At 39.7% G+C, this 25,048-nt stretch overlaps 2 pseudogenes; one reads left to right on the top strand and one right to left on the bottom strand.

Moving 5' to 3' along the window:
* On the top strand, window positions 427–1,364 carry OR4F28P (olfactory receptor family 4 subfamily F member 28 pseudogene; annotated as a pseudogene).
* WBP1LP5 (WBP1L pseudogene 5) lies at window positions 11,820–12,326 on the bottom strand (annotated as a pseudogene).

Below are 25,048 nucleotides of genomic sequence, written 5' to 3' on the forward strand. Positions count from 1 at the left end.
GTCTACTTTCTGTCAGAGAATTGTGGGTGCAAACTGGGAAGGGAAGGAAATTATAAGAATATGTATAAGTACAAATGGAATATGTTGGAAATGAGGAATAGTTAATATCACAGGTCATTTAAACACCTGATGAATTTCATGGATAGTCAGGAATCTTGTTCTTACCTAATCTGTTAATTTTAGATCAGACATTACACTGAAAGTATTGATGATGGGTTTAAATCAGGTTGCAGCTCACATGTTGTGATAATATTATGTTGATTTTTTGTTTTTAATATGTGAGGAACAGAATAACTGTATACTATTTATTCATAGTGACATTGCAATATTAATGATTTTAGTACATATTATTATCTTCATAATCACAATTTCCTCCCCATTTTCTTAGTTCTCATAATTTTAGCCACAGCCCAGTTGGCTGGACCAATGGATGGAGAGAATCACTCAGTGGTATCTGAGTTTTTGTTTCTGGGACTCACTCATTCATGGGAGATCCAGCTCCTCCTCCTAGTGTTTTCCTCTGTGCTCTATGTGGCAAGCATTACTGGAAACATCCTCATTGTGTTTTCTGTGACCACTGACCCTCACTTACACTCCCCCATGTACTTTCTACTGGCCAGTCTCTCCTTCATTGACTTAGGAGCCTGCTCTGTCACTTCTCCCAAGACGATTTATGACCTGTTCAGAAAGCGCAAAGTCATCTCCTTTGGAGGCTGCATCGCTCAAATCTTCTTCATCCACGTCATTGGTGGTGTGGAGATGGTGCTGCTCATAGCCATGGCCTTTGACAGATATGTGGCCCTATTAAGCCCCTCCACTATCTGACCATTATGAGCCCAAGAATGTGCCTTTCATTTCTGGCTGTTGCCTGGACCCTTGGTGTCAGTCACTCCCTGTTCCAACTGGCATTTCTTGTTAATTTACCCTTCTGTGGCCCTAATGTGTTGGACAGCTTCTACTGTGACCTTCCTCGGCTTCTCAGACTAGCCTGTACCGACACCTACAGATTGCAGTTCACGGTCACTGTTAACAGTGGGTTTATCTGTGTGGGTACTTTCTTCATACTTCTAATCTCCTACGTCTTCATCCTGTTTACTGTTTGGAAACATTCCTCAGGTGGTTCATCCAAGGCCCTTTCCACTCTTTCAGCTCACAGCACAGTGGTCCTTTTGTTCTTTGGTCCACCCATGTTTGTGTATACACGGCCACACCCTAATTCACAGATGGACAAGTTTCTGGCTATTTTTGATGCAGTTCTCACTCCTTTTCTGAATCCAGTTGTCTATACATTCAGGAATAAGGAGATGAAGGCAGCACTAAAGAGAGTATGCAAACAGCTAGTGATTTACAAGAAGATCTCATAAATGATATAATAAGCCCTTCTCATTAAACATGATATGGCTTTATGTTTCTTTCTTTGATATTTTAGATTCAGGAACTATGAGACATTATGTATTGATTTGAATGTTATTAGACCTGTAACATAATTCTTAACTGATGAATATATGATGAATATATTCCTTGTTCAAAATGAGTCATAAATTCAACACATCTCTACATCTATATTATGCCCATTTAATTTCTTTCAGCAATGTTTTGTAGTTTTTGGTGAACAGGTACTTTATGCATATGTACTTTATATTTATCTCTAAGTTTTATATTTCTGATGCCCTTTTAAGTGACATTTTTATTTCAATTTACAATTGTTTATTCTTAGCTTATGGGCACATAATAGATCTTTGTTTGACATTATATCCTGTAAACTTGCAAAACTTATTAGTTCCATCAGTTTTTTATAGGTTATGTAGGATTTTCTTTATAGATGATTATGTTGGCAGTGAATAAAGACATTTGCTTTTAAAATTCTAGTATGAATTCACTATATTCATTTTGTTGAATGCTGAGTAGAATTAGAGCAGACATCTTTGACTTGTTCCTGTTATGAAATATATTAAATATTTCATCATTAAGTATAATGTTAGCTATAATTTTTTTCATAGGTACTCTTTAACAGGCTGAGAAAGTTTTCTGTATTCACAGTTTGCTGAAAATTTCTTTTATCTTTAGTCAGGAATGGATCTTGGATTTTGTAAAGCTTTTTCGTTTCAGAATCAGGGTAATGCTGGCCCTTTAGAATGAGTTGGGAAGCATCTGCTCTTCTTAAATTTTCTGCCATAATTTTGTAGAATTCATATAATTTTTTTCTTTAAAAAGGGAAGTACTTAAGTATTTTCTCCCATAAGTTACCCATAAGTAAATCTAAAGGAAAGTGGGAAACTTTGATACGCATTGGTTGCCCCCTGGTGGAGATTTCTGGGTTCTTGATTATTTTAACACTGGAGATAGAATCTGGTGGAATGATGTCAATGCTACCGTGATTAAGAGGCGTGTAGGAAATGCTTCATGTAAGAGAGAAAATAGTCTTTATGAGAATCTGCCTGGTGGAAAGGAGTTGGTGCAACAACAATATAAATTAGTGAAAAATTTTAAATTGACAAATAATAATTGTATCTATTTATGGGGTACAATGTAATGTTTTGATACATGTTTAAATTGTGGAAAGATTAGGTCTATCTTATTGACATACATATCTTTTTTGTGGTGAAAACATTTAAAATCTACTCTGTTAGTCATTTTGAAACATACAATACCTTGTTATTTATTACAGTCACCATTCTGTGCAATAGTTCACTGAAACTTTGTCTAACTGAAACTTTGAACCCTTTTATCAACATCTACCTTTTCCATGTCTATCCCCAACTCCTAGCCTCTGATAATCACCATTCCATTCTCTACTTCTATGAATTCAACTTTTTTAGATTCCACATATCAGTGAGATCATGTGATATTTGTCTTTTCATGCCTGGCTTATTTCACTTAGCATGATATCTTCTGGGTTAATTCATGTTGTCACATATATCAGGTTTTCCTTCCTATTAAGGCTGAGTAGTATTCCATTGTATATATACACTACATTTTCTTCATCCATTTGTCAGTTGATAGACACCTGTGTTGATTTCATATTTGGGTATTGTGAATAATGCTGCAATGAACATGAGCCTGGAGATATCTCTTCAGCATATTGACTTAAATTCCTTTGGATATATACAAGGAAGTGGGATTGCTGGATCATATAGTAATTCTAGTTTTAGTTTTTTGAGTAACTTTTATCTATTTTTCATAATAGTATTAATTTACATTTCCACCAACAGTGTACGAGGGTTCCCTTTTCTCTGTATCCTCTTCAACACTTGTCATCTTTTATGATTTTGATAGTAGCCATTCTAACAGGTATGAAGTGGCATCTCACTGTCATTTTAATTTGCATTTCCCTGATAATTAGGATGACAAACTTTTTTTATGTTAGTCATTTGTATTTTTTTTGAGAAATGTCTATTTAGGACCTTGCCCATTTTTTGACTTGGTTATTTGTTTTCTTGATATTGAGTTGAGTCCCTTATATATTTGGAGATTAGCCTTTCATCAGATGTATGCTCTGCAAATATTTTCTCACAACTTGTAGGTTGTCTCTTCACCATATTGTTTCCTTTGCTGTGCAGAAGCTTTTTAGTTTGATGCAATCCCATATATTTTTGCTTTTGTTGCCTGTGCTTTGGGGGTTATATCCAAGAAATCTTTGACCAAACCAACATTGTGGAACTTTTCCCCTATGTTTTCATCTAGTAGTTTTACAGTTTTATGTTTAAACCTTTAATCCATTTTGAATTGATTTTTGTGTATGGTGTGAGATAAGGATACACACCATACACATTCGTGTTCTTCTGCATGTGGATATCTAGTTTTCTTAACACCATTTATTGAAACAAATGTCTATACTTCATTACGTTTTCTGGGCACCTTTGTCAAAAATTTATTGGTCATAAATGCATGAGTTTATTTCTGGGCTCCTTATTCTGTTCCCCTGGTCAATGTGTCTGTTTTTGTGCAAGTGTCATGTTGTTTTGATTACTATGGTTTTGTGATACGTATTTGTTTTGGGGGGGGATCGATTTTTATTTGGGTTTCTCACAGTGGTTAGAGAACAACCACAGCACAGGAAATGCATCGCCAAGATTGCCCAGAAAACTGACCAGCTGCATCTTATTGCTTAAAAATACACATATTCACAATAACTGACAAATGGTGATGTGCCTCACACAGGAATGTGTTCACATTTGCAATGCTGTGTACAGACTTCACTTCGTTCAACATAGATTTTGGTTTAATGGAATTCAAATGCGGATGCTTGTTCACAGCCTTGGATTTGTCTGTTTTTGGAAAGATACAACCTCCATGAGTATATCTGCATGAAAACCACAGACAATGAAGGTATTTCTTCGTTGACTTATTTATTCTTTTGACTGTAGCAACAAACCCTGGATGACACCCTTCCTTTTAATTCACCTGGAAACCAGACTCAATCAAATCTCCCTGGTCCCCTCACTATTCCTTCAAATTCCCTATTTCTATCTCTTCCTGAGGAGGGTAACCTCCTGTAGCAGGGGTCACACTGTGACTTGGGAATCAAGCCTAGGTCTGCAGGTTGCCTTTTCATCTTCTTGTAAAATATGGTAGGACATTGCAGTGAATCCAACAGTTAACACTCAGAGCAGTTCCCTGCTCTAACTCAGGAAAGAGACTTCAGAGGGTCAGGATTCATCCATTTGATCAGTTAACTGAGAAGGATTCATTTTGGTAAAACTTGTTCAGCTTTGAGACACTTCAGTGAGTTGTTTGAGATTTTTTTTTAAATTATACTTTAAGTTCTGGGGTACATGTGCAGAACGTGCAGGATTGTTACATAGATATACACGTGCCATGGTGGTTTGCTGCACCCATCAACCCATCATCTGCATTAGGTATTTAACCCAATGCTAACCTTCCCCCAGCCCCTACCCCCAGACAGGCCCCGGTGTGTTGTGTTCCCCTCCCTCTGTCCATGTGTTCTTTGTTCAACTCCCATTTATGAGTGAGAACATTGGGTGTTTGGTTTTCTGTTCTTGGATTAGTTTGCTGAGAATGATGGTTTCCTGCTTCATCCATGTCCCTGAAAAGGATATGAACTCACCCTTCTTTATGGCTGCATAGTATCCATGGTGTATATGTGCCACATTTTCTTTATGCAATCTATCATTGAATGGGCATTTTGGTTGGTTCCAAGTCTTTGCTATTGTGAACAGTGCCACAATAAACATATGTGTGCATGTGTCTTTATAGTAGAATGATTTATAATCCTTTGGATATATACCCAGTAATGCGATTGCTGGGTCATATCATATTTCTAGTTCTAGAACCTTGAGGAATCACCACACTGTCTTCCACAATGGTTGAACTAATTTACACTCCCACCAACAGTGTAAAAGCATTCTTATTTCTCCACATCCTCTCCAGCATCTGTTGTTTCCTGACTTTTTAATGATCGCCATTCTATCTGGCGTGAGATGGTATCTCATTGTGGTATTGATATGCATTTCTCTGATGACCAGTGATGATGAGCTTTTTTTCATATGTTTGTTGGCTGCATAAATGTCTTCCTTAGAGAAATGTCAGTTCATATCCTTCACCCACTGATGGGTTTGTTTGTTATTTTCTTGTAAATTGTTTAAGTTCTTTGTAGATTCTGGATATTAGCCCTTTGTCAGATGGATAGATTGCAAAAATTTTCACCCATTCTGTAGGTTGCCTGTTCACTCTGATGATAGTTTCTTTTGCTGTGCAGGAGCTCTTTAGTTTAATTAGATCCCATTTGTCTATTTTGGTTTTTGTTGCAATTGCTTTTGGTGTTTTAGTCATGAAGTTTTTGTCCATGCCTATGTACTGAATGGTATTGCCTAGGTTTTCTTCTAGGGTTTTTTATGGTTTTAGATCTTATGTTTAAGTCTTTAATACATTGTGAGTTAATTTTTGTGTAAAGTGTAAGAAAGGGATCCAGTTTCAGTTTTCTGCATATGGCTAGCCAGTTTTCCCAACCCCATTTATTAAATAGGGAATCGTTTCCCCATTGCTTGTTTTTGTCAGGTTTGTCAAAGATCAGATGGTTGTAGATGTGTGGCGTTATTTCTGAGGCCTCTGTTCTGTTCCATTGGTCTACATATCTGTTTTGGTACCAGTACCATGCTGTTTTGGTTACTGAAGGCTTGTAGTATAGTTCGAAGTCAGACAGCGTGATGCCTCCAGATTTGTTCTACTTACTTAGGACTGTGCTAGCTCTGTGGGCTCATTTTTGGTTCCATATGAAATTTAAAGTAGTTTTTTCCAATTCTGTGCACAAGGTCAATGGTAGCTTGATGGGGATAGCATTGAGTCTATAAAAACTTTGGGCAGTATGTCCATTTTCATGATATTGATTCTTCCTATCCATGAGCATGGAATGTTTTTCCATTTGTTTGTGTCCTCTCTTATTTCCTTGAGCAGTGGTTTGTAGTTCTCCTTGAAGAGGTCCTTCACATCCCTTGTAAGTTGGATTCCTAGGTATTTTATTCTCTTAGTAGCAATTGTGAATGGGAGAGTTCACTCATGATTTGGCTCTCTGTTTGTCTGTTTTTTGCATATAGGAATGCTTGATTTTTGCACATTGATTTTGTATCCTGAGACTTTTCTGAAGTTGCTTATTAGCTTAAGGAGATTTTGGGCTGAGACCGTGGGGTTTTCTAAATACACAATCATGTCATCTGCAAACAGAGACAATTTCTTTCTCTTGCTTGATTGCCCTGGCCAGAACTTCCAATACTACATTGAATAGGAGTGGTGAGATAGGGCATCCTTGTCTTGTGCTGGTTTTCAAAGGGAATGCTTCCAGTGTTTCACCATTCAGTATTGGCTGTGGGTTTTTCATAAATAGGTCTTATTATTTTGAGATACGTTCCATCAGTACCTAGTTTATTGAGAGTTTTTAGCATGAAGGGCTGTTGAATTTTGTCGAAGGCCTTTTCTGCATCTATTGAGAGAAGCATGTGGTTTTTGCCATTGGTTCTATTTATATGATGAATTATGTTTATTGATTTGCGTATGTTGAACTAGCCTTGCATCCCAGGGATGAAGCCGATTTGATTGTGATGGACAAGCTTTTGATGTGCTGCTGGATTTGGTTTGCCAGTATTTTATTGAGGATTTTTGCATCGATGTTCATCAGGGATATTGGCTTGAAATTTTCTTTTTTTTGTTGTGTCTCTGCCAAATTTTGGTACCAGAATGATTCTGGCCTCATAAAATGAGTTAGGGAGGATTCCCTCTTTTTCTGTTGTTTGGAATAGTTTCAGAAGGAATGGTACCAGTTCCTCTTTGTACCTCTGGTAGAGTTCAGCTGTGAATCCATCTGGTCCTGGACTGTTTTTTGGTTGGTAGGCTATTAATTACTGCCACAATTTCAGACCTTGTTATTGGTCTATTCAGGGATTCAACTTCTTCATGGTTTAGCCTTGGGAGGGTGTATGTGTCCAGGAATTTGTCCATTTCTTCTAGATTTTCTAGTTTGTGTAGAGGTGTTTATAGTATTCTCTGATAGTAGTTTGTATTTCTGTGGGATCAGTGGTGGTATCTCCTTTATCATTTTTTATTGCATCTGTTTGATTCTTCTCTCTTTTCTTCTTTATGAGTCTGGCTAGTGGTCTGTTTATTTTATTGATCTTTTCAAAAACCAGCTCCTGGATTCATTGATTTTTTTTGAAGGTTTTTTTGTGTTTCTATCTCCTTCAGTTCTGCTCTGATCTTAGTTATTTATTGTCTTCTGCTAGCTTTTTGTATGCTCCTGCCTCTTGAGTTCTTTTAATTGAGATGTTAGGGTGTCAATTTTAGATCTTTCCTGCTTTCTCTTGTGGGCATTTAGTGCTATAAATTTCCCTCTACACACTGCTATAATTGTGTACCAGAGATTCTGGTATGTTATGTCTTTGTTCTCATTGGTTTCAAATAACTTATTTATTTCTGCCTTAATATCTTTATTTACCCAGTAGTTGTTCAGGAGCAGGTTGTTCAGTTTACATGTAGTTGTGTGGGTTTGAGTCAGTTTCTTAATCCTGAGTTCTAATTTAATTGCACTGCGATCTGAGAGACTGTTATAATTCTCATTTTTTTTTTTGCATTTGCTGAGGAGTGTTTTACTTCCAAATATGTGGTCAATTTTAGAATAAGTGCAATGTGATGCTGAGAAGAATGTATATTCTGTTGATTTGGGGTGGAGAGTTCTGTAGATGTCTATTGGATCCACTTGGTCTAGAGCTGAGTTCAAGTCCTGGATATCCTTGTTAACTTTCTGTTTCGTTGATCTGTCTAGTATTGACAGTGGGATGTTAAAGTCTCCCACTATTATTGTGTGAGGGTCTAAGTCTCTTTTTAAGTCTCTAAGAGCTTACTTTATGCATCTGGGTGCTCCTGTATTGGGTGCATATATATTTAGGATAATTAGCTCTTCTTGTTGCATTGATCCTTTTCCATTATGCAATGCCCTTATTTGTCTCTTTTGATCTTTGTTGGTTTAAAGTCTGTTTTATCAGAGACTAGGGTTACAACCCCTGCTTTTTTTTGCCTTCCATTTGCTTGGTAAGTATTCCTCCATCCCTTTATTTTGAGCCTATTTGTGTCTGTGCACGTGAGATGGGTCTCCTGAATACAGAACACTGATGGGTCTTGACTCTTTAGCCAATTTGCCAGTCTGTGTTTTTTAATTGGAGCATTTAGCCCATTTACATTTAAGGTTGATATTGTTATGTGTGAATTTGATCCTGTCATTATGATGCTAGCTGGTTATTTTGCTGTTAGTTAATGCAGTTTCTTCATAGTGTCAATGGTCTTTACGATTTGGTATGTTTGTGCAGTGGCTGATACCAGTTGTTCCTTTCCATGTTTAGTGCTTCCTTCAGGAGCTCCTTTAAGGCAGGCCTGGTGGTGACAAAATCTGTCAGCATTTGCTTGTCTGTAAAGGATTTTATTTCTCCTTCACTTATGAAGCTTAGTTTGGCTGGATATGAAATCCTGGGTGGAAAATTCTTTTCTTTAAGAATGTTGAATATTGGCCCCCATTCTCTTCTGGCTTGTAGAGTTTCTGCTGATAGATCTGCTGTTAGTCTGATGGGCTTCCCTTTGTGGGTAACCTGACCTTTCTCTCTGGCTGCCCTTAACATTTTTTCCTTCATTTCAACCTTGCTCAATCTGACGACTTTGTGTCTTGGGGTTGCTTTTCTTGAGGAGTGTCTTTGTGATGTTCTTCGTATTTCTGAATTTGAATATTGGCCTGCCTTGCTAGGTTAGGGAAGTTCTCCTGGATAATATCCTGAAGAGTGTTTTCTAACTTGGTTCCATTCTCCCCAACACTTTCAGGTACAGCAATCAAACGTAGATTTGGTCGTTTCACATAGTCCCATATTTCTTGGAGGCTTTGTTCATTTCTTTTCATTCTTTTTTCTCTAATCTTGTCTTCTTGATTTATTTCATTAAGCTGATATTCAATCTCTGATATCTTTTCTTCCGCTTGATCGAATCAGTGCTTCATCCTTGTGCATGCTGCATGAAGTTCTCATGGCGTGTTTTTCAGCTCCATCAGGTCATTTATGTTCTTCTCTAAACTGGTTATTCTAGTTAGCAATTGGTCTAGCCTTTTTTCCAGGTCCTTAGCTTCCTTACATTGGGTTAGGACATGCTCCTTTAGCTTGGAGGAGTTTGTTATTACCTACCTTCTGAAACCTACTTCTCTTAATTCGTCAAACTCATTCTCCATCCAGTTTTCTTTTGTTCCCTTGCTGGTGAGGAGTTGTGATCCTTTGGAGGAGAAGAGGCGTTCTGGTTTTCGGAATTTTCAGCCTTTTTGCTCTGGTTTCTCTCCATCTTCGTGGATTTATCTACCTGTGGTTTCTGATGTTGGTGACCTTCTGATGGGGTCACTGAGTGGCTGTCCTTTTTGTTGATGTTGATGCTATTCCTTTTTGTTTGTTAGTTTTCCTTCTAACAGTCAGGCCCCTCTGCTGCAGGTCTGTTGGGGTTTGCCGTAGGTCTACTCTAGACCCTGTTTGCCTGGGTATCACCAGCGGAGGCTGGAGAACAGCAAAGATTGCTGCCTGTTTCTTCCTCTGGAAGTTTTGTCCCAGAGGGGCACCCACCAGATGCCAGCCAGAGCTCTCCTGTATGAGGTGCCTGTTGGCACCTACTGGGAGGTGTCTCCCAGTCAGGATACACGGGGTCAGGGACCCACTTGAGGAGGCAGTCTGACCCTTATCAGAGCTCGAATGCTGTGCTGGGAGATCTGCTGCTCTCTTCAGAGCCATCAGGCTTTTCAAGGATGCTCAAAGTCTGCTGAAGCTGTGCCCACAGGCGCCCTTTCCCCTAGGTGCTCTGTTCCGGGGAGATGGGGGTTTTATCTATAGGTCTCTGACTGGGGCTGCTGCCCTTTTTTCAGAGATGCCTTGCCCAGAGAGGAGAAATCTAGAGAGGCAGTCTGGCTGCTGTGGCCTTGCTGAGTTGTGGTGGGCTCCACCCAGTTCAAACTTTCTGGTGGCTTTGTTTACACTGTGGGGGTAAAACTGCCTACTCAAGCCTTGGCAATGTGGAAGCCCCTCCCCCCACCAAGCTCGAGTGTCCTAGGTCAACCTCAGACTGCTGTGCAAGAATTTCAAGCCAGTGGATCTTAGCTTCTGGGCTCTGTAGGGGTGGGACCCGCCGAGCCAGACCACTTGGCTCCCTGGCTTCAGCCCCCTTTCCAGGAGAGAGAATGGTTCTGTCTTGTTGGCATTCCAGTTGCCACTGCGGCATGAAAAAAAAAAAACTCCTGCAGCTAGCTCGGTGTCTGCCCAAACAGCTGCCTAGTTTTCTGCTTGAAACCTAGGGCCTTGGTGGCAGAGGCACTGGAGGGAATCTCCTGGTCTGTGGATTGTGAAGACCGTGAGAAAAGCATAGTTTCTGGGTGGAGTGCACCGTTCCTCATGGTACAGTCCCTCGGGGCTTCCCTTGGCTAGGGGAGGGAATTCCCCCAACCCCTTGCACTTCCCGGGTGAGGCGAAGCCCCATTCTGCTTTGGCTCACCCTCCGTGGGCTGCACCCACTGTCCAACCAGTCCCAGTGAGATGAACCAGGTACCTCAGTTGGAAATGCAGAAATCACCTGCATTCTGCATTGATCTCACTGGGAGCTGCAGACTGGAGCTGTTCCTATTTGGCCATGTTGCCAGCAAATTCTGAGATTTTTTTTAAAAGTGCAAAGAAGGACATCTGAGGGGTGCTGACATATTCGGGTCACCTCAAGCCACATGCCAGCTTGCTTGCCCCTGTTGGATTCAGCGGAGGGAGATAGGCCTTGCTATACCTGTGGTGTCTGCCAAAGCTTCCTCCTGGCAATTCTTGGGAGTGCTGATACCTGGGCCACAGTTAGTCCAAGTTTATCACTGAAGATCCTATCAAAGTTTTGTCTGAAATTCCACTTTTGCCTTTTGTCCTAAGTGGTTGTGGACATCTCCAGGGGCTGATACCAAGGACTAGGAACAGCTGAGGGAGGCAGAAAGGTTCAGAGTACATTTCTATTTACAGGGAACAGAACACCGGCCTCCGAGAGTCCATGGAGCAATGGGAAAATTGCAGTGATTGCTCATCACTGTGAAACTTCTACTTTGAATACAGTATCTTCTGGCAAGCACTGGGGACTGCAGTCGACAATGCTGCTGAATATACCTGAGTACATAGTAAGACATTTGTTTGGTAAACAGTCAATGCATACAATAAATTACCTTGAGAGGGCCATCTGTGCTCCAGATGTGAGAGTTCATGTGAATAGAATGGCCACAATTCAAAGAATCTTCACAGGAAAACGGCTCAGAGCTCATCTACAATGGACAGACAGGGAGGGAAACAGGTGAAGATTAGTTCACCACTTCCTCATAAGAAGGTAATAAATAGTTTGGTGAAATAAAATGGTAGCACTGAGTAATTGCGGGCTTCTGGATAGGCAGTCAGGTTGATTTCATGTTGCTACTGCTAGACTTGAGGGCTGGCTTGGCTGTGGTGGCAGACACAGCAGCAGCTCAGGATGATGGTGATGGTCCATGCCAACCAGAACCATCAATGTTTATAGTAGTAGTTACAACACTGAGACTGCCCATAGCAGTGTCCTGTTGTGTCACAGATGTAGCTTTGATTGTTGGTACACACACAGGCTTCCTTATCCTGTGGGGGTTCAGCCCTGGCTGACACAGGGCTGGGCAGTGCCTAGAGGTGCAAGAGCTTCATGCCACCCAGGAGTCTTCCCTCCATACTCCTCCTGCTCCTCCGACCCAGCGCGGGCACCTCCCTCCACCCTTGCTGCACTTCTCCTCTACCCTCTTCTTCCTTCTTTTGTTCTTTTCCTGTAATATGTTTTGAAGTCAGATTGTGAGGCCTTCAGCTTTGTTCTTATTGCTCAAGAGTCCTTTAGTTATTCAGGGTCCTTTGTGGTTCCATATAAATTTTCAAATTGTTTTTTCTATTTCTGTGAAGAATGACATTGAAATTTTGATAAATATTGCATTAAACCTATAAATCACTTTGGGCAGTAAGGACATTTTAAGAATATTAATTCTTCCTACCCATGAACATAAAATATCTTTCCATGTATTCATGTCATCTACAATTTTTTCATCAATGTTTTATAGTGTTCAGAATACAGATCTTTCACCTCCTTGGTTAAATGTACTCCTAAGTACAATCCTAAATGTGCTCCTAAACAAAAAAAAATACGGTTTTTTTGATGCTACCGTGAATGAGATTGATTTCTTTATTTTTGTCATATAGTTTGTTGTCAGTGTAAAGAAACTACTGAGTTTTATACATTGATTTTGAATTCTGCAATTTTATTGAATTCATTTATCATTTCTAATAGCTTTTTGGTGGAGTTTTTAGGGTTTCCTATATATAATATGTCATCAAACAGAGACAATTTTACTTCTTCCTTTTCAATTTGAATATCTTTTATTTCTTTATTTGGCTTAATTGCTCTGGCTAGGACTTCCAGAAATAAGTTGAATAGAAGTAGTGAGAATAAATATCCTTGTCTTGTTCTTGATCTTAGCAGAAAAGATTTCACTTTTTCATTGTTGGGTATGATGTGAGCTGTGAGCTTGTTATATATGTCCTGTTTTGTGTTAAGGTACATGCCTTCTACGCCCAATTTGTTGAGAGATTTTGTCATGAGAGGATTTTGAATTTAGTCAAATGCTTTTTCTGCATATATAGAGATAGCTATTTTTTTTATCCTTCATTCTGTTAATGTGGTTTATCACATTTGATTTGTGTATGCTGAACCATCTGGAGGATAAATCCACTTTATCATGGTAAATGTTCTCCTAATGTGTTGCTAAATTCTGTTTGCTAGCACTTTTTTTTGAGGACTTTTGTATCTATGTTCATCAGGGATATTGGTTGACCCATACTTTTCTTATAGTGTCCTTGTTTGCCTTTTTATTTTTGTTTTTATTTTTTCGTTTTTGTTTTTTTATTATACTTCAAGTTTTAGGGTACATGTGCACAACGTGCAGGTTAGTTACATATGTATACATGTGCCATGCTGGTGTGCTGCTCCCATTAACTCATCATTTAACATTAGGTATATCTCCTAATGCTATCCCTCCCCCCTCCCCCCACCCCACAACAGGCCCCAGTGCTAATATCCAGAATCTACAATGAATTCAAACAAATTTACAAGAAAAAAACAAACAACCCCATCAAAAAGTGGGCAAAGGATATGAACAGACACTTCTCAAAAGAAGACATTTATGCAGCCAACAGACGCATGAAGAAATGCTCATCATCACTGGCCATCAGAGAAATGCAAATCAAAACCACAATGAGATATCATCTAACACCAGTTAGAATGGCCATCATTAAAAAGTCAGGAAACAACAGGTGCTGGAGAGGATGTGGAGAAATAGGAACATTTTTACACTGTTGGTGGGACTGTAAACTAGTTCAACCATTGTGGAAGACAGTGTGGCGATTCCTCAAGGATCTAGAACTAGAAATACCATTTGACCCAGCCATCCCATTACTGGGTATATACCCAAAGGATTACAAATCATGCTGCTATAAAGACACATGCACACATATGTTTATTGTGGCACTGTTCACAATAGCAAAGACTTGGAACCAATCCAAATGTCCAACAATGATAGACTGGATTAAGAAAATGTGGCACATATACACCATGGAATACTATGCAGCCATAAAAAAGGATGAGTTCATGTCCTTTGTAGGGACATGGATGAAGCTGGAAACCATCATTCTCAGCAAACTATTGCAACGACAAAAAACCAAACACCACATGTTCTCACTCATAGGTGGGAATTGGACAATGAGAACACATGGACACAGGAAGGGGAACATCACTTTAAAAAAAAAAACAATAATGCTGATCTTTTAAAATGAGTTTGGAAATACTCTTTCTCCTTCAAGTTTTTGGAAGAATTTCAGAAGGATTGTATTATTATTTTTTAAAATGTTAGAATTCAGCAATGAAGTTTTCTGGTCCTGGGATGTTCTTTGATGGGAGATGTTTTATTATTGATATACTCTCCATACTCAGTATTGTTCTGTTCAGATTTTATCTTTCTTCTTGACTTTCTCTAGGTAAGTTGCATTTTTCTAGAAATTTATCTGCTTTTTCTAGGTTATCCAATTTGTTGGCTTGTAATTGTTTATAGTGGCCTCTTATGATCCTCTGTATTTCTGTGGTATTAGTTGCAATATTTCCTCTTTCATTTCTGATTTTATTGCTTTGAGTATTCTCTCGTTTTTCTAGTCTAGCTAATGGTTTGTCAGTTTTGTTTATCTTTTCAAAGAACAAATTCTTAGTTTCATTGATCTGTTCTATTTTCTTTCACAGTCTTTTTTGTATTTGAAGGACTCGTATTTGTTAACTGGCTCAAGCCTGGAAATTTGTTGAGGTGCTATGAGTCTCTATTGCTCTCATTTCTCTTCACTAGACATAGAAATTTTCTGATTACACGAATCAAATAAGACTAATAAGCTTCCCAGGGATGAATCCCACTTAAGCATGGTGAATTCTTTTGCTGTGTTTTTTTAAAAATAATATTTGCTAATATTTGGCTGAGGGTTTTTCCATCTAAGTTCATCAGGAGTATTGGTCTGCAATTTATTTTTATTATAGTGTCCTTCTCTGGTTTTGGTATCAGGGTAATGCTGGTTTTGAAAAATGAATTTGGAAGTATTCCTCTTCTTCATGTTTCTGGAAGCGTTTGAGAAGGATTGGTGTTAGTTATCTAAGTGTTTGTTAGAATCCAGCCACCGAGCCATTCAATCCTGGGTCTTTCTTTTATGAGAGACCTTTCATTGGTGATTTAATTTCCTTATTCACGATTTGTTCTAAATTTTGAATTCTTCATGATTCAGTTTTGGTACGAGTTTATCAATTTCTTCTAGGTTATCTAATTTGCTGGTGAATAATTATTTATAGTAGTATGTTATGATTTTTTAACTTCTGTGGTATCAGTTGTAATGTCTCTTCTTTCATTTCTGAGTTTGTTTTCTTTTTTCTTAGTCTATGTAAGAATTTGTTAATTTTGTTTATCTTTTCAAAAAACAATTCTTATTTTTATTGAAATTTTCAGTTTCTATTATATTATTTCTGCTCTGATCTTTGTTATTTGTTTCCTTCTGCTATCTTTGGGCTTGTATTGTTCTCTAATTTTCTCGCTCCTTTAGGCATAATATTAGGTTGCTTATTTGAGATCTTTTTTTCTTTTTTGATGTAGGCATTTATTGCTATAAATGTCCCTCTTATAACTGCTTTTGTTGCATCCCATATGTTTTAGTATGTTATGTTTCCATTTTCATGCTACCTGATTTTAGAATATATTTCAAAGCATGGTGTACAGTGCTTTTAAAAAGAGGCTATATATAGGTATATATAAAAACAATACACACATTGTATATAAACTATGACATGCTTGTAAAGAAAAGAGAACATAAAGTTTCTGAGGAAATAATTAGAAGAACAAGAGGATGCAAAGGGGTCTGTCAAAGATTCAGTGAAATGAGGGTTTTTGGATATTCACAGCTAATAGATTAATGCATTAGGAATGAGCAAAAAAATTGATGGTAGTCAAACAGAGGGAGGGAGGTAGATTTTGAATGATTCAAAGCAGGAGTGTTTTGAAGATAAACAGAATAACTAAAAAGAAAGACTCATATGAAAAGCCTAGATTTAAAGCATTTGAATCAAGAGGTGGTAATCTAGGAATTAGGTTGATTTCTTTTTTTTTTTAATTTGTGTAGCTTTTTATTTTATTTTTTATTATACTTTAAGTTTTAGGGTACATGTGCACAAAGTGCAGGTTTGTTACATATGTATACATGTGCCATGTTGGTGTGCTGCACCCAGAAGACTGGTTAATTTCAATAACCTAAAAATCCACAAGGTGGGAGCGTTTCACTGAAGCCAGTTGTTAGAGAAACGTTAGAACCAACTTCCTTTTTTTCTCTGTCCCTTCTTCTCTGCTTTCTTCTTTTCTCCTCCTCCTCCTCCTCCCTTTACTCTCCTTCTTCTCTCTCTGTTTTTCTAATCATGAAAACAAACGAAAAAAACTATGAGCAAGAGCACAGAAAAAAGACTAGCAAAGACTGCAGTTATTGAAAGTATCAGATACAGAAAATAAAATAACTATATTTAGTATGTTTAAAGTAAAACAAAAAATTAAAAATATCATAATGGAACAGGAAACTCTAGAGAATGGCCAAGAAGATTAAAAGAAAACAAATAGAATGTCCATAGAGAATAACATAATTGAAATTTAAACCCAAATGAATGGTTTCAACAGAATATTAGTATGTTAGAAGCAGTTAAAGAGTGAACTAGTAAACTGTAATATAGGTCAGAAGGGGCTATCCAAAATGAACACAGGAATAAGGAAATGGAAAATAAGAAACATGTAGTTAGGAGACATGGAAGACAGAGGGGGAAATGCTAAAAAGTTTTAAAGAGTGTTTCAGAAGGAGAGAAAGGAGATCATGAATCAGTGTATATATTTTTTAAATTTTATTTTATGTTCTGGGATACACGTGCAGAAAGTGTAGGTTTGATACATAGGTAAATGTGTGCCATGGTGGTTTCCTGCACCCATCAACCCATCACCTAGGTATGAGGCCCTGCATGCATTAGCTATTTGTCCTGATGGTCTCCTACCCCCGTCCCCCTGAGAGGCCCTGGTGTGTGTTGTTCCCCTCCATGTACCCACGTGTTTGTCCTGATGGTCTCCTACCCCCTGTCCCCCTGAGAGGCCCTGGTGTGTGTTGTTCCCCTCCATGTACCCACGTGTTTGTCTTGATGGTCTCCTACCCCCTGTCCCCCTGAGAGGCCCTGGTGTGTGTTGTTCCCCTCCATGTACCCACGTGTTTGTCCTGATGGTCTCCTACCCCCCGTCCCCCTGAGAGGCCCTGGTGTGTGTTGTTCCCCTCCATGTATCCACGTGTTTGTCCTGATGGTCTCCTACCCCCTGTCCCCCTGAGAGGTCCTGGTGTGTGTTGTTCCCCTCCATGTACCCACGTGTTTGTCCTGATGGTCTCCTACCCCTGTCCCCCTGAGAGGCCCTGGTGTGTGTTGTTCCCCTCCATGTACCCACGTGTTTGTCTTGATGGTCTCCTACCCCCCGTCCCCCTGAGAGGCCCTGGTGTGTGTTGTTCCCCTCCATGTATCCACGTGTTTGTCCTGATGGTCTCCTACCCCCTGTCCCCCTGAGAGGCCCTGGTGTGTGTTGTTCCCCTCCATGTACCCACGTGTTTGTCTTGATGGTCTCCTACCCCCTGTCCCCCTGAGAGGCCCTGGTGTGTGTTGTTCCCCTCCATGTACCCACGTGTTTGTCTTGATGGTCTCCTACCCCCTGTCCCCCTGAGAGGTCCTGGTGTGTGTTGTTCCCCTCCATGTACCCACGTGTTTGTCCTGATGGTCTCCTACCCCCCGTCCCCCTGAGAGGCCCTGGTGTGTGTTGTTCCCCTCCATGTACCCACGTGTTTGTCCTGATGGTCTCCTACCCCCTGTCCCCCTGAGAGGCCCTGGTGTGTGTTGTTCCCCTCCATGTACCCACGTGTTTGTCCTGATGGTCTCCTACCCCCTGTCCCCCTGAGAGGCCCTGGTGTGTGTTGTTCCCCTCCATGTACCCACGTGTTTGTCTTGATGGTCTCCTACCCCCCGTCCCCCTGAGAGGCCCTGGTGTGTGTTGTTCCCCTCCATGTACCCACGTGTTTGTCCTGATGGTCTCCTACCCCCCGTCCCCCTGAGAGGCCCTGGTGTGTGTTGTTCCCCTCCATGTATCCACGTGTTTGTCTTGATAGTCTCCTACCCCCTGTCCCCCTGAGAGGCCCTGGTGTGTGTTGTTCCCCTCCATGTACCCACGTGTTTGTGCTGATGGTCTCCTACCCCCTGTCCCCCTGAGAGGCCCTGGTGTGTGTTGTTCCCCTCCATGTACCCACGTGTGTGTCCTGATGGTCTCCTACCCCCTGTCCCCCTGAGAGGCCCTGGTGTGTGTTTTTCCCCTCCATGTATCCACGTGTTTGTCCTGATGGTCTCCTACCCCCTGTCCCCCTGAGAGGCCCTGGTGTGTGTTGTTCCCCTCCATGTATCCACGTGTTTGTCTTGATGGTCTCCTACCCCCTGTCCCCCTGAGAGGCCCTGGTGTGTGTTGTTCCCCTCCATGTACCCACGTGTGTGTCCTGATGGTCTCCTACCCCCTGTCCCCCTGAGAGGCCCTGGTGTGTGTTTTTCCCCTCCATGTACCCACGTGTTTGTCCTGATGGTCTCCTACCCCCGTCCCCCTGAGAGGCCCTGGTGTGTGTTGTTCCCCTCCATGTATCCACGTGTTTGTCTTGATGGTCTCCTACCCCCTGTCCCCCTGAGAGGCCCTGGTGTGTGTTGTTCCCCTCCATGTATCCACGTGTTTGTCCTGATGGTCTCCTACCCCCCGTCCCCCTGAGAGGCCCTGGTGTGTGTTGTTCCCCTCCATGTACCCACGTGTTTGTCCTGATGGTCTCCTACCCCCTGTCCCGCTGAGAGGCCCTGGTGTGTGTTGTTCCCCTCCATGTATCCACGTGTTTGTCCTGATGGTCTCCTAACCCCTGTCCCCCTGAGAGGCCCTGGTATGTGTTGTTCCCCTCCATGTATCCATGTGTTTGCTCTCATTGTTCAACTCCCTCTTACGACTGAGAACATGTGGTGTTTGGTTTTCTGTTCCTGTGTTAGTTTGCTGACGGTGATGGCTTCCAGCTTCATCCATGTCCCTGCAAAGAACATGATCTCATTTATTTTAATGGCTGCAGAGTATTCCATGGTGAATATATATCACATTTTCTTTATCCAATATATCATTGATGGGCATTTGGGTTGATTCCATGTATTTTCTATCGTAAATAGTGCTGCAATAAACATATGTGTGCATGTATATGTATGTGTGTGTGTATATATATGTAGTTATAATATGTATATATATGTGTATATATATGTGTGTATATATATACACATATATATACATTTACATATATAATATATGTATATATGTATATATATGTGTATATATATGTATATATATGTGTATATATATGTATATATATGTATGTATATGTATATATATATATTTTTTTGAGATGGAGTTTTGCTCTTGTTGCCCAGGCTGGAGTGCAATGGTATGATCTTGGCTCACTTTGACCTCTGCCTCCTGGGTTCCAGCGATTCTCCTGCCTCAGCCTCCAAAGTAGCTGGTATTACAGGTGTGCACCACTATACCTGGCTAATTTTTGTATTTTTAGTAGAGATGGAGTTTCCCCATGTTGGCTAGGCTGGTCTCAAACTCCTGTCCTCAGGTGATCCACCGGCCTTGGCCTCCCAAAGTGCTGGGATTACAGGTGTGAGCCACTGCACCCAGCCCTGTGCATGTATCTTTATAATAGAGTGATTTATATTCCTTTGGGCATATACCCAGTAAAGGGATTGCTGGGGCAAATGGCATTTCTGGTTCTAGATCTTTGAGGAATTGTCACACTGTCTTCCACAGTGAATGAACTAATTTACATTCCCACAAACAGTGTAAAAGCATTCCTATTTCTCCACAGCCTTACCAGCAACTGTTGTTTCTGGAGTTTTTGATAATCACCATTAAGACTGGTTTGAGATAGTATCTCATTGTGCTTTTGAGTTGCATTTCTCTAATGATCAGTGATTTGAGCTTTTTTTCATATGTTTGTTGGCCACATCCATGTCTTCTTTTGAGAATTGTCTGTTCATGTCCTTTGGCCAATTTTTGATGGTTTTTTTTCTTGTAAATTTAAGTTCTCCATAGGAGCAGGTGCTCTAATTGCTTGGAGGTCTGCCTATGTGTGGAGATGAGAGGGCCTCACTGCACTATAATCTCAGCACAGGAAGGTTGGGGAAGCTCAGGCTGCTGATCCAGTCAAGTGGGTGCTCCACATACCTGGAAATCTGCCTGGCCATAGACTGGAGAGGGCCCCACTGCACCACAACCTATGTTTACAAACGGTGGGGTAGCTCAGGATGCTGGTCCAGGTAGACAGGTGCTCCAATGCCTGAATTTCTGCCTGGGGGTGAAGCAGAGAAAGCCCTGCTGTATCACATTGTCAGGGGAACAGGCTGGGGCACCCAGCAATGACACCTGCAGACTGGTTGTAGGTCTCCAAGCTGGCCCTGGCTGCAAGTTTCATCACCTGGGAGAAATTACAGCTGTAGCAGCTTTTCTGTTGCCCCGAGGCTGCGATGGGGGAAAGCACAATTCCAGCACATACTGCTGAGGTGTTTCCCACAATATGGCTGTGAAGGTCCCTACCAAGACCCAAAGCAGTTGTTCCAATCTTTGGCCTGAGACTAAAATGCCTGTGCAGGCATTCTGCTGGGTCACAAAAAGAAAAAAAAAAGCTGACTTTGCATGCATCCAGATTGAAAATGGCATCTTGCTCTTACTTCCTGGTCTGGGAAAATGTCTGCAGCTGTTCCCAGTGTCTTTGCTTCACAGCATCTCCAAGCCTCTCCCCATGTTGACTCCAGGCCTTGGGAGAAACAAAATGCAACAACTTGGCTGGGGTTGCTCAGATTCACAGTGAAAATGTCAGTTACAGAGGGAGGCTCTCTGCCTCTCTCACATACTAGGACTTCGCTCACTTTTATAAGCTGGTTGCTGTCATGTTGACTGTTTGCTCACATTCTCCTTCTTGGGATCTATGATGTCCTTCATGATTCTGGTGGATTCCCATTTTCCTTCTTGACTTAGAGCTCACAGAGTTGACCTTTGTGCACTCTCTTGCTATTTCTAAGTGGCCGAGGCACACTAAAAGCCTCTAATTTATCATCTTGGGAAAAAAACAAAACAGGGAAGTTTGCTTTTGCAAATTGTTGTTTGTGGGGGTCTGTCCTGCAGACCCCAGCTGCACGAGGGATGAATAATGTACTCAGACACCAATTATTCAGTGAAAGAGCCGCTAGGGGGCTGGGCCGTGCACAGAAAGAGTTCTGGCAGCCACGAGCCCTGACTAGCTAGCCCTGCCAGCATTTATTGAAAAAACATTAAATGACAGGGGCTTTTAGTCAACACAAATAGAGGGTAATTAACCTGGTCACCCTCCCCCGAGAGAGAGCCATCCTGCCTGTGAATGATCAAAGGTTGGCTTCAGGACCACATGAGTAAACAAGTTATTTAGATAAACTCCCTTACATTCCTTTGCACCTACTTTAAGCTATTTACTCAAGGAAGGATTAGGCCGCCTTCATTCAGATCTATTACTGAAGCTATACAACACCCCCAGCCTTCCATGAAGGTTTGTGTCGATTTCTTATAACTATCTTTAAAATTTTTCCCACCAGCCTGACTGAACTCCCACAGTTGTTGCTACTTTTTGAAATTGAAATACTTCTAGGAAGACTGATTAAGAACAATATAGAGAAAAGACATATTTTTCAAACTCCTGATGAAGAAGAAACATCCGTATTAATATATAGCTAATAAAAAGATAAGAGATGTTGTGGAAAATTTCATACAAGGGTGCCCACTCTCAGAACTTCTATTCAACATAGTACTGGATGTCCTAGCCAGAGCAATTAGGCAAAAGAAAGAAATAAAAGGCATGAAAATTGGAAAGGAAGAAGTTAAATTGTTTCTGTTTGCAGTTGACATGATCTTATATATAGAAAACACCAATAACTCTGCCAAAAAATTTAGAATTCATAAATGAATTTAGTAAAGTTGCAGGATACAATGTGAACATACAAAATTCAGTAGCATTTCTACACATCAACAACAAACTATACAAAAAAAGAAATCAAGAAAACAATCCTATTTATAATAGCAACAAAAAATACTTAGATGTAAATTTAAACAAAGAGGTGAATGATCTTTACACTGAAAACTACAAAACATTGATGAAAGCAATTGAAGAAGCCACAAATAAATGGAAAGATATCTCATGTTCATGGATTGGAAAAAGTAATATGTTTGAAATGTTCATACTATCCAAAGTGATGTACATATTGAATGCAATCTCTACCAAATTCCTATGACATTTTCCCACAGAAATAGAAAAACAACTCTCAAATCTGTATGGAATCACAAAAAACTCTGAAAAGCCAAAAGAATCTTGATCAAAAAAAGCAAGGCAGGAGATATCACATTACCTGACTTCAAATTATACTACATAGCTATAGCAATCGAAACACCATGGTACTGGCATAAACGCAGACACATAGACCAATTACACAGAATAAAGAGCCCATAAATAAATCTACATATTATAGTCAATTGACTTTCAACAAAGGTGCCAGGAACACACATGGGGAAAGAACAGTCTCTTCAAAAAAATGGTGTTGAGAAAACTGAATGTCCACAAGATTGATATTAGGCCCTTATTTCATACCATATAAAAATATAAACTCAAAATAAGTTAGACTTAAATGTAAGACCTAGCACTATAGAACTCCTAGAAGAAAACAGGGGAATAACTCCAAGACATTGGTCTGGGCAATAATATTTTATGATATGACTCTAAAGCACAGGCAAGAAAAGCAACAAAACACAAATGGAATAGCATCAACCTAAAAAGCTTCTGCACAGCAAAAGAAAGTCAACAGAGTGAAGTGATAACCTACAAAATGGGAGAAATTATCTGCAAACTATACATTTGATAAGAGGCTAATGTCCAAAATATCTTAGGAACACAAACAACTCAATAATAAGAAAACAGGGAACCCTAATGAAAAATTGACAAAGGATCTAAATAGACATTTCTCAAAAGAAGACATACAAATGGCCAACAGATATATAAAAATGCTAATTATCACTGATCATCAGAGAAATGCATATTAAAACTACAATAAAATGCCATTTCACATCCGTTAGAATGGCTGTTACAGAAAAGGCAGAAGATACCAAGTGTTGGAGAGGATGTGGAGAAAAGGAAAACCTTGTAATTGTTGAGAATGTAAATTATTTCAGCCATTGTAAAAGACAGTATAAATGATTCTGTAAAAATAGAATTACCATATGATCCAGTAATGCTATTTCTGGGCATATATTAAAAAGATATCAAATCAGTGTGTCAATGAGTTATCTGTACTCCCATATTTATTGTAGCATTATTCACAACAGCCAAGATGTGGAATTAACTTAAGTATCCATCGACACATGAGTGGATGAAGAAAACGTGGTACACATACACAATAGAATAGTATACAACCTTAAAAAATAAAAAAAGTATCATTTGTGACAACATGAATGAACCGGGAGGACATTATACTGAGTAAAATAATCCAGGCACAGAAAGCCAGATACTGCATAGTCTCACTTGTATGTGGAGGTCTAAGAAGGCTGAACACATAGAAGTACAGAGTAGAATGATGGTTACCAGGAGGATTGGGTAGATGTTGGTCGAAGGGTACAAAATTGCATTGTACAGGAGGAATGAATTCAACAGATCTATTGTGCAATATGGTGACTATAGTGGATAACAATGTATTGTTTTTAAATTTAATTTTTGTGGGTACATAGCAGGTGTATACATTTATGGGGTACATGAAATATTTTGGTACAGGCATGCAATGTACAATAAGTACATAATGGAAAATTGGATATTCATCCCCTCAAGCATTTATTATTTGTGTTATAAACAATCCAGTTATACTCTTTCAGTTATTTTTAAATGTATAATTGAATTTTAGACTGCAATCCCCCTGTTGTGCTATCAAATACTAGGTCTTATTAAATCTTTCTTTTTTTGTACCCATTAACCATCCCCCACCTCTCCCAACCCCCACTACCCTTCACAGCCTCTGGTATACTTCCTTCTACTCTCTATCTCCATGAGTTCAGTTGTTTGCTTTTTGGATTCCACATATAAGTGATAACACATAGTATTTGTCTTTTTGTGCCTGGCTTATTTCACTTAACATAATGACCTCCAGTTTCATCTATGTTGTTGCAAATGACAGGGTCTCATTCCTTTTTATGGCTGAATAGTACTTCATTGTATATAAGTACCACATTTTCTTTATTCATTCATCTGTTGATGGACACTTAGGTTGACTCCATAACTTCGCTATTGTAAATAGTGCTGCAACAAATACGGGAGTGCAGATATCTCTTCGATATACTGATTTCTTTTTTGGGGGGTATATATGCAGCAGTGGGATTGCTGGACCACATGGTAGCTCTATTTTTACTTTTTTGAGGAGCCTTCAAACTGTTCTCCATAGGGGATGTACTTGTATTCTTCAAAATTGCTAAGAGTAGATTTTTAAGTGTTCTCATAAAAAAAGATAAGCATGTAAGGTAATGCATATGTTAGCTTAACATGGCTATTTTACAATGAATATATATTTCAAAACATATAATTTTATTTATCTGATAAAATAAATATAAAATATGAAACTTTATATTAATAAATTTGACAATCATAAGGAATGGTCAAGTTCCTATGAAAAACACCTACTTTTATGAAATGATCAGAAAAAAACTAGAAAAACTGAGTAGTTTTTTTTTCATTGTAGAAATTTTATTTAGAAAATTTTTTTTTCCTGTAGAAAGAACTCCAGGGCT

The sequence above is a fragment of the Homo sapiens genome, chromosome 15 (genome assembly GCF_000001405.40).
Source record: "Homo sapiens chromosome 15, GRCh38.p14 Primary Assembly".
NCBI classification, from domain to species: Eukaryota; Metazoa; Chordata; class Mammalia; order Primates; family Hominidae; genus Homo; species Homo sapiens.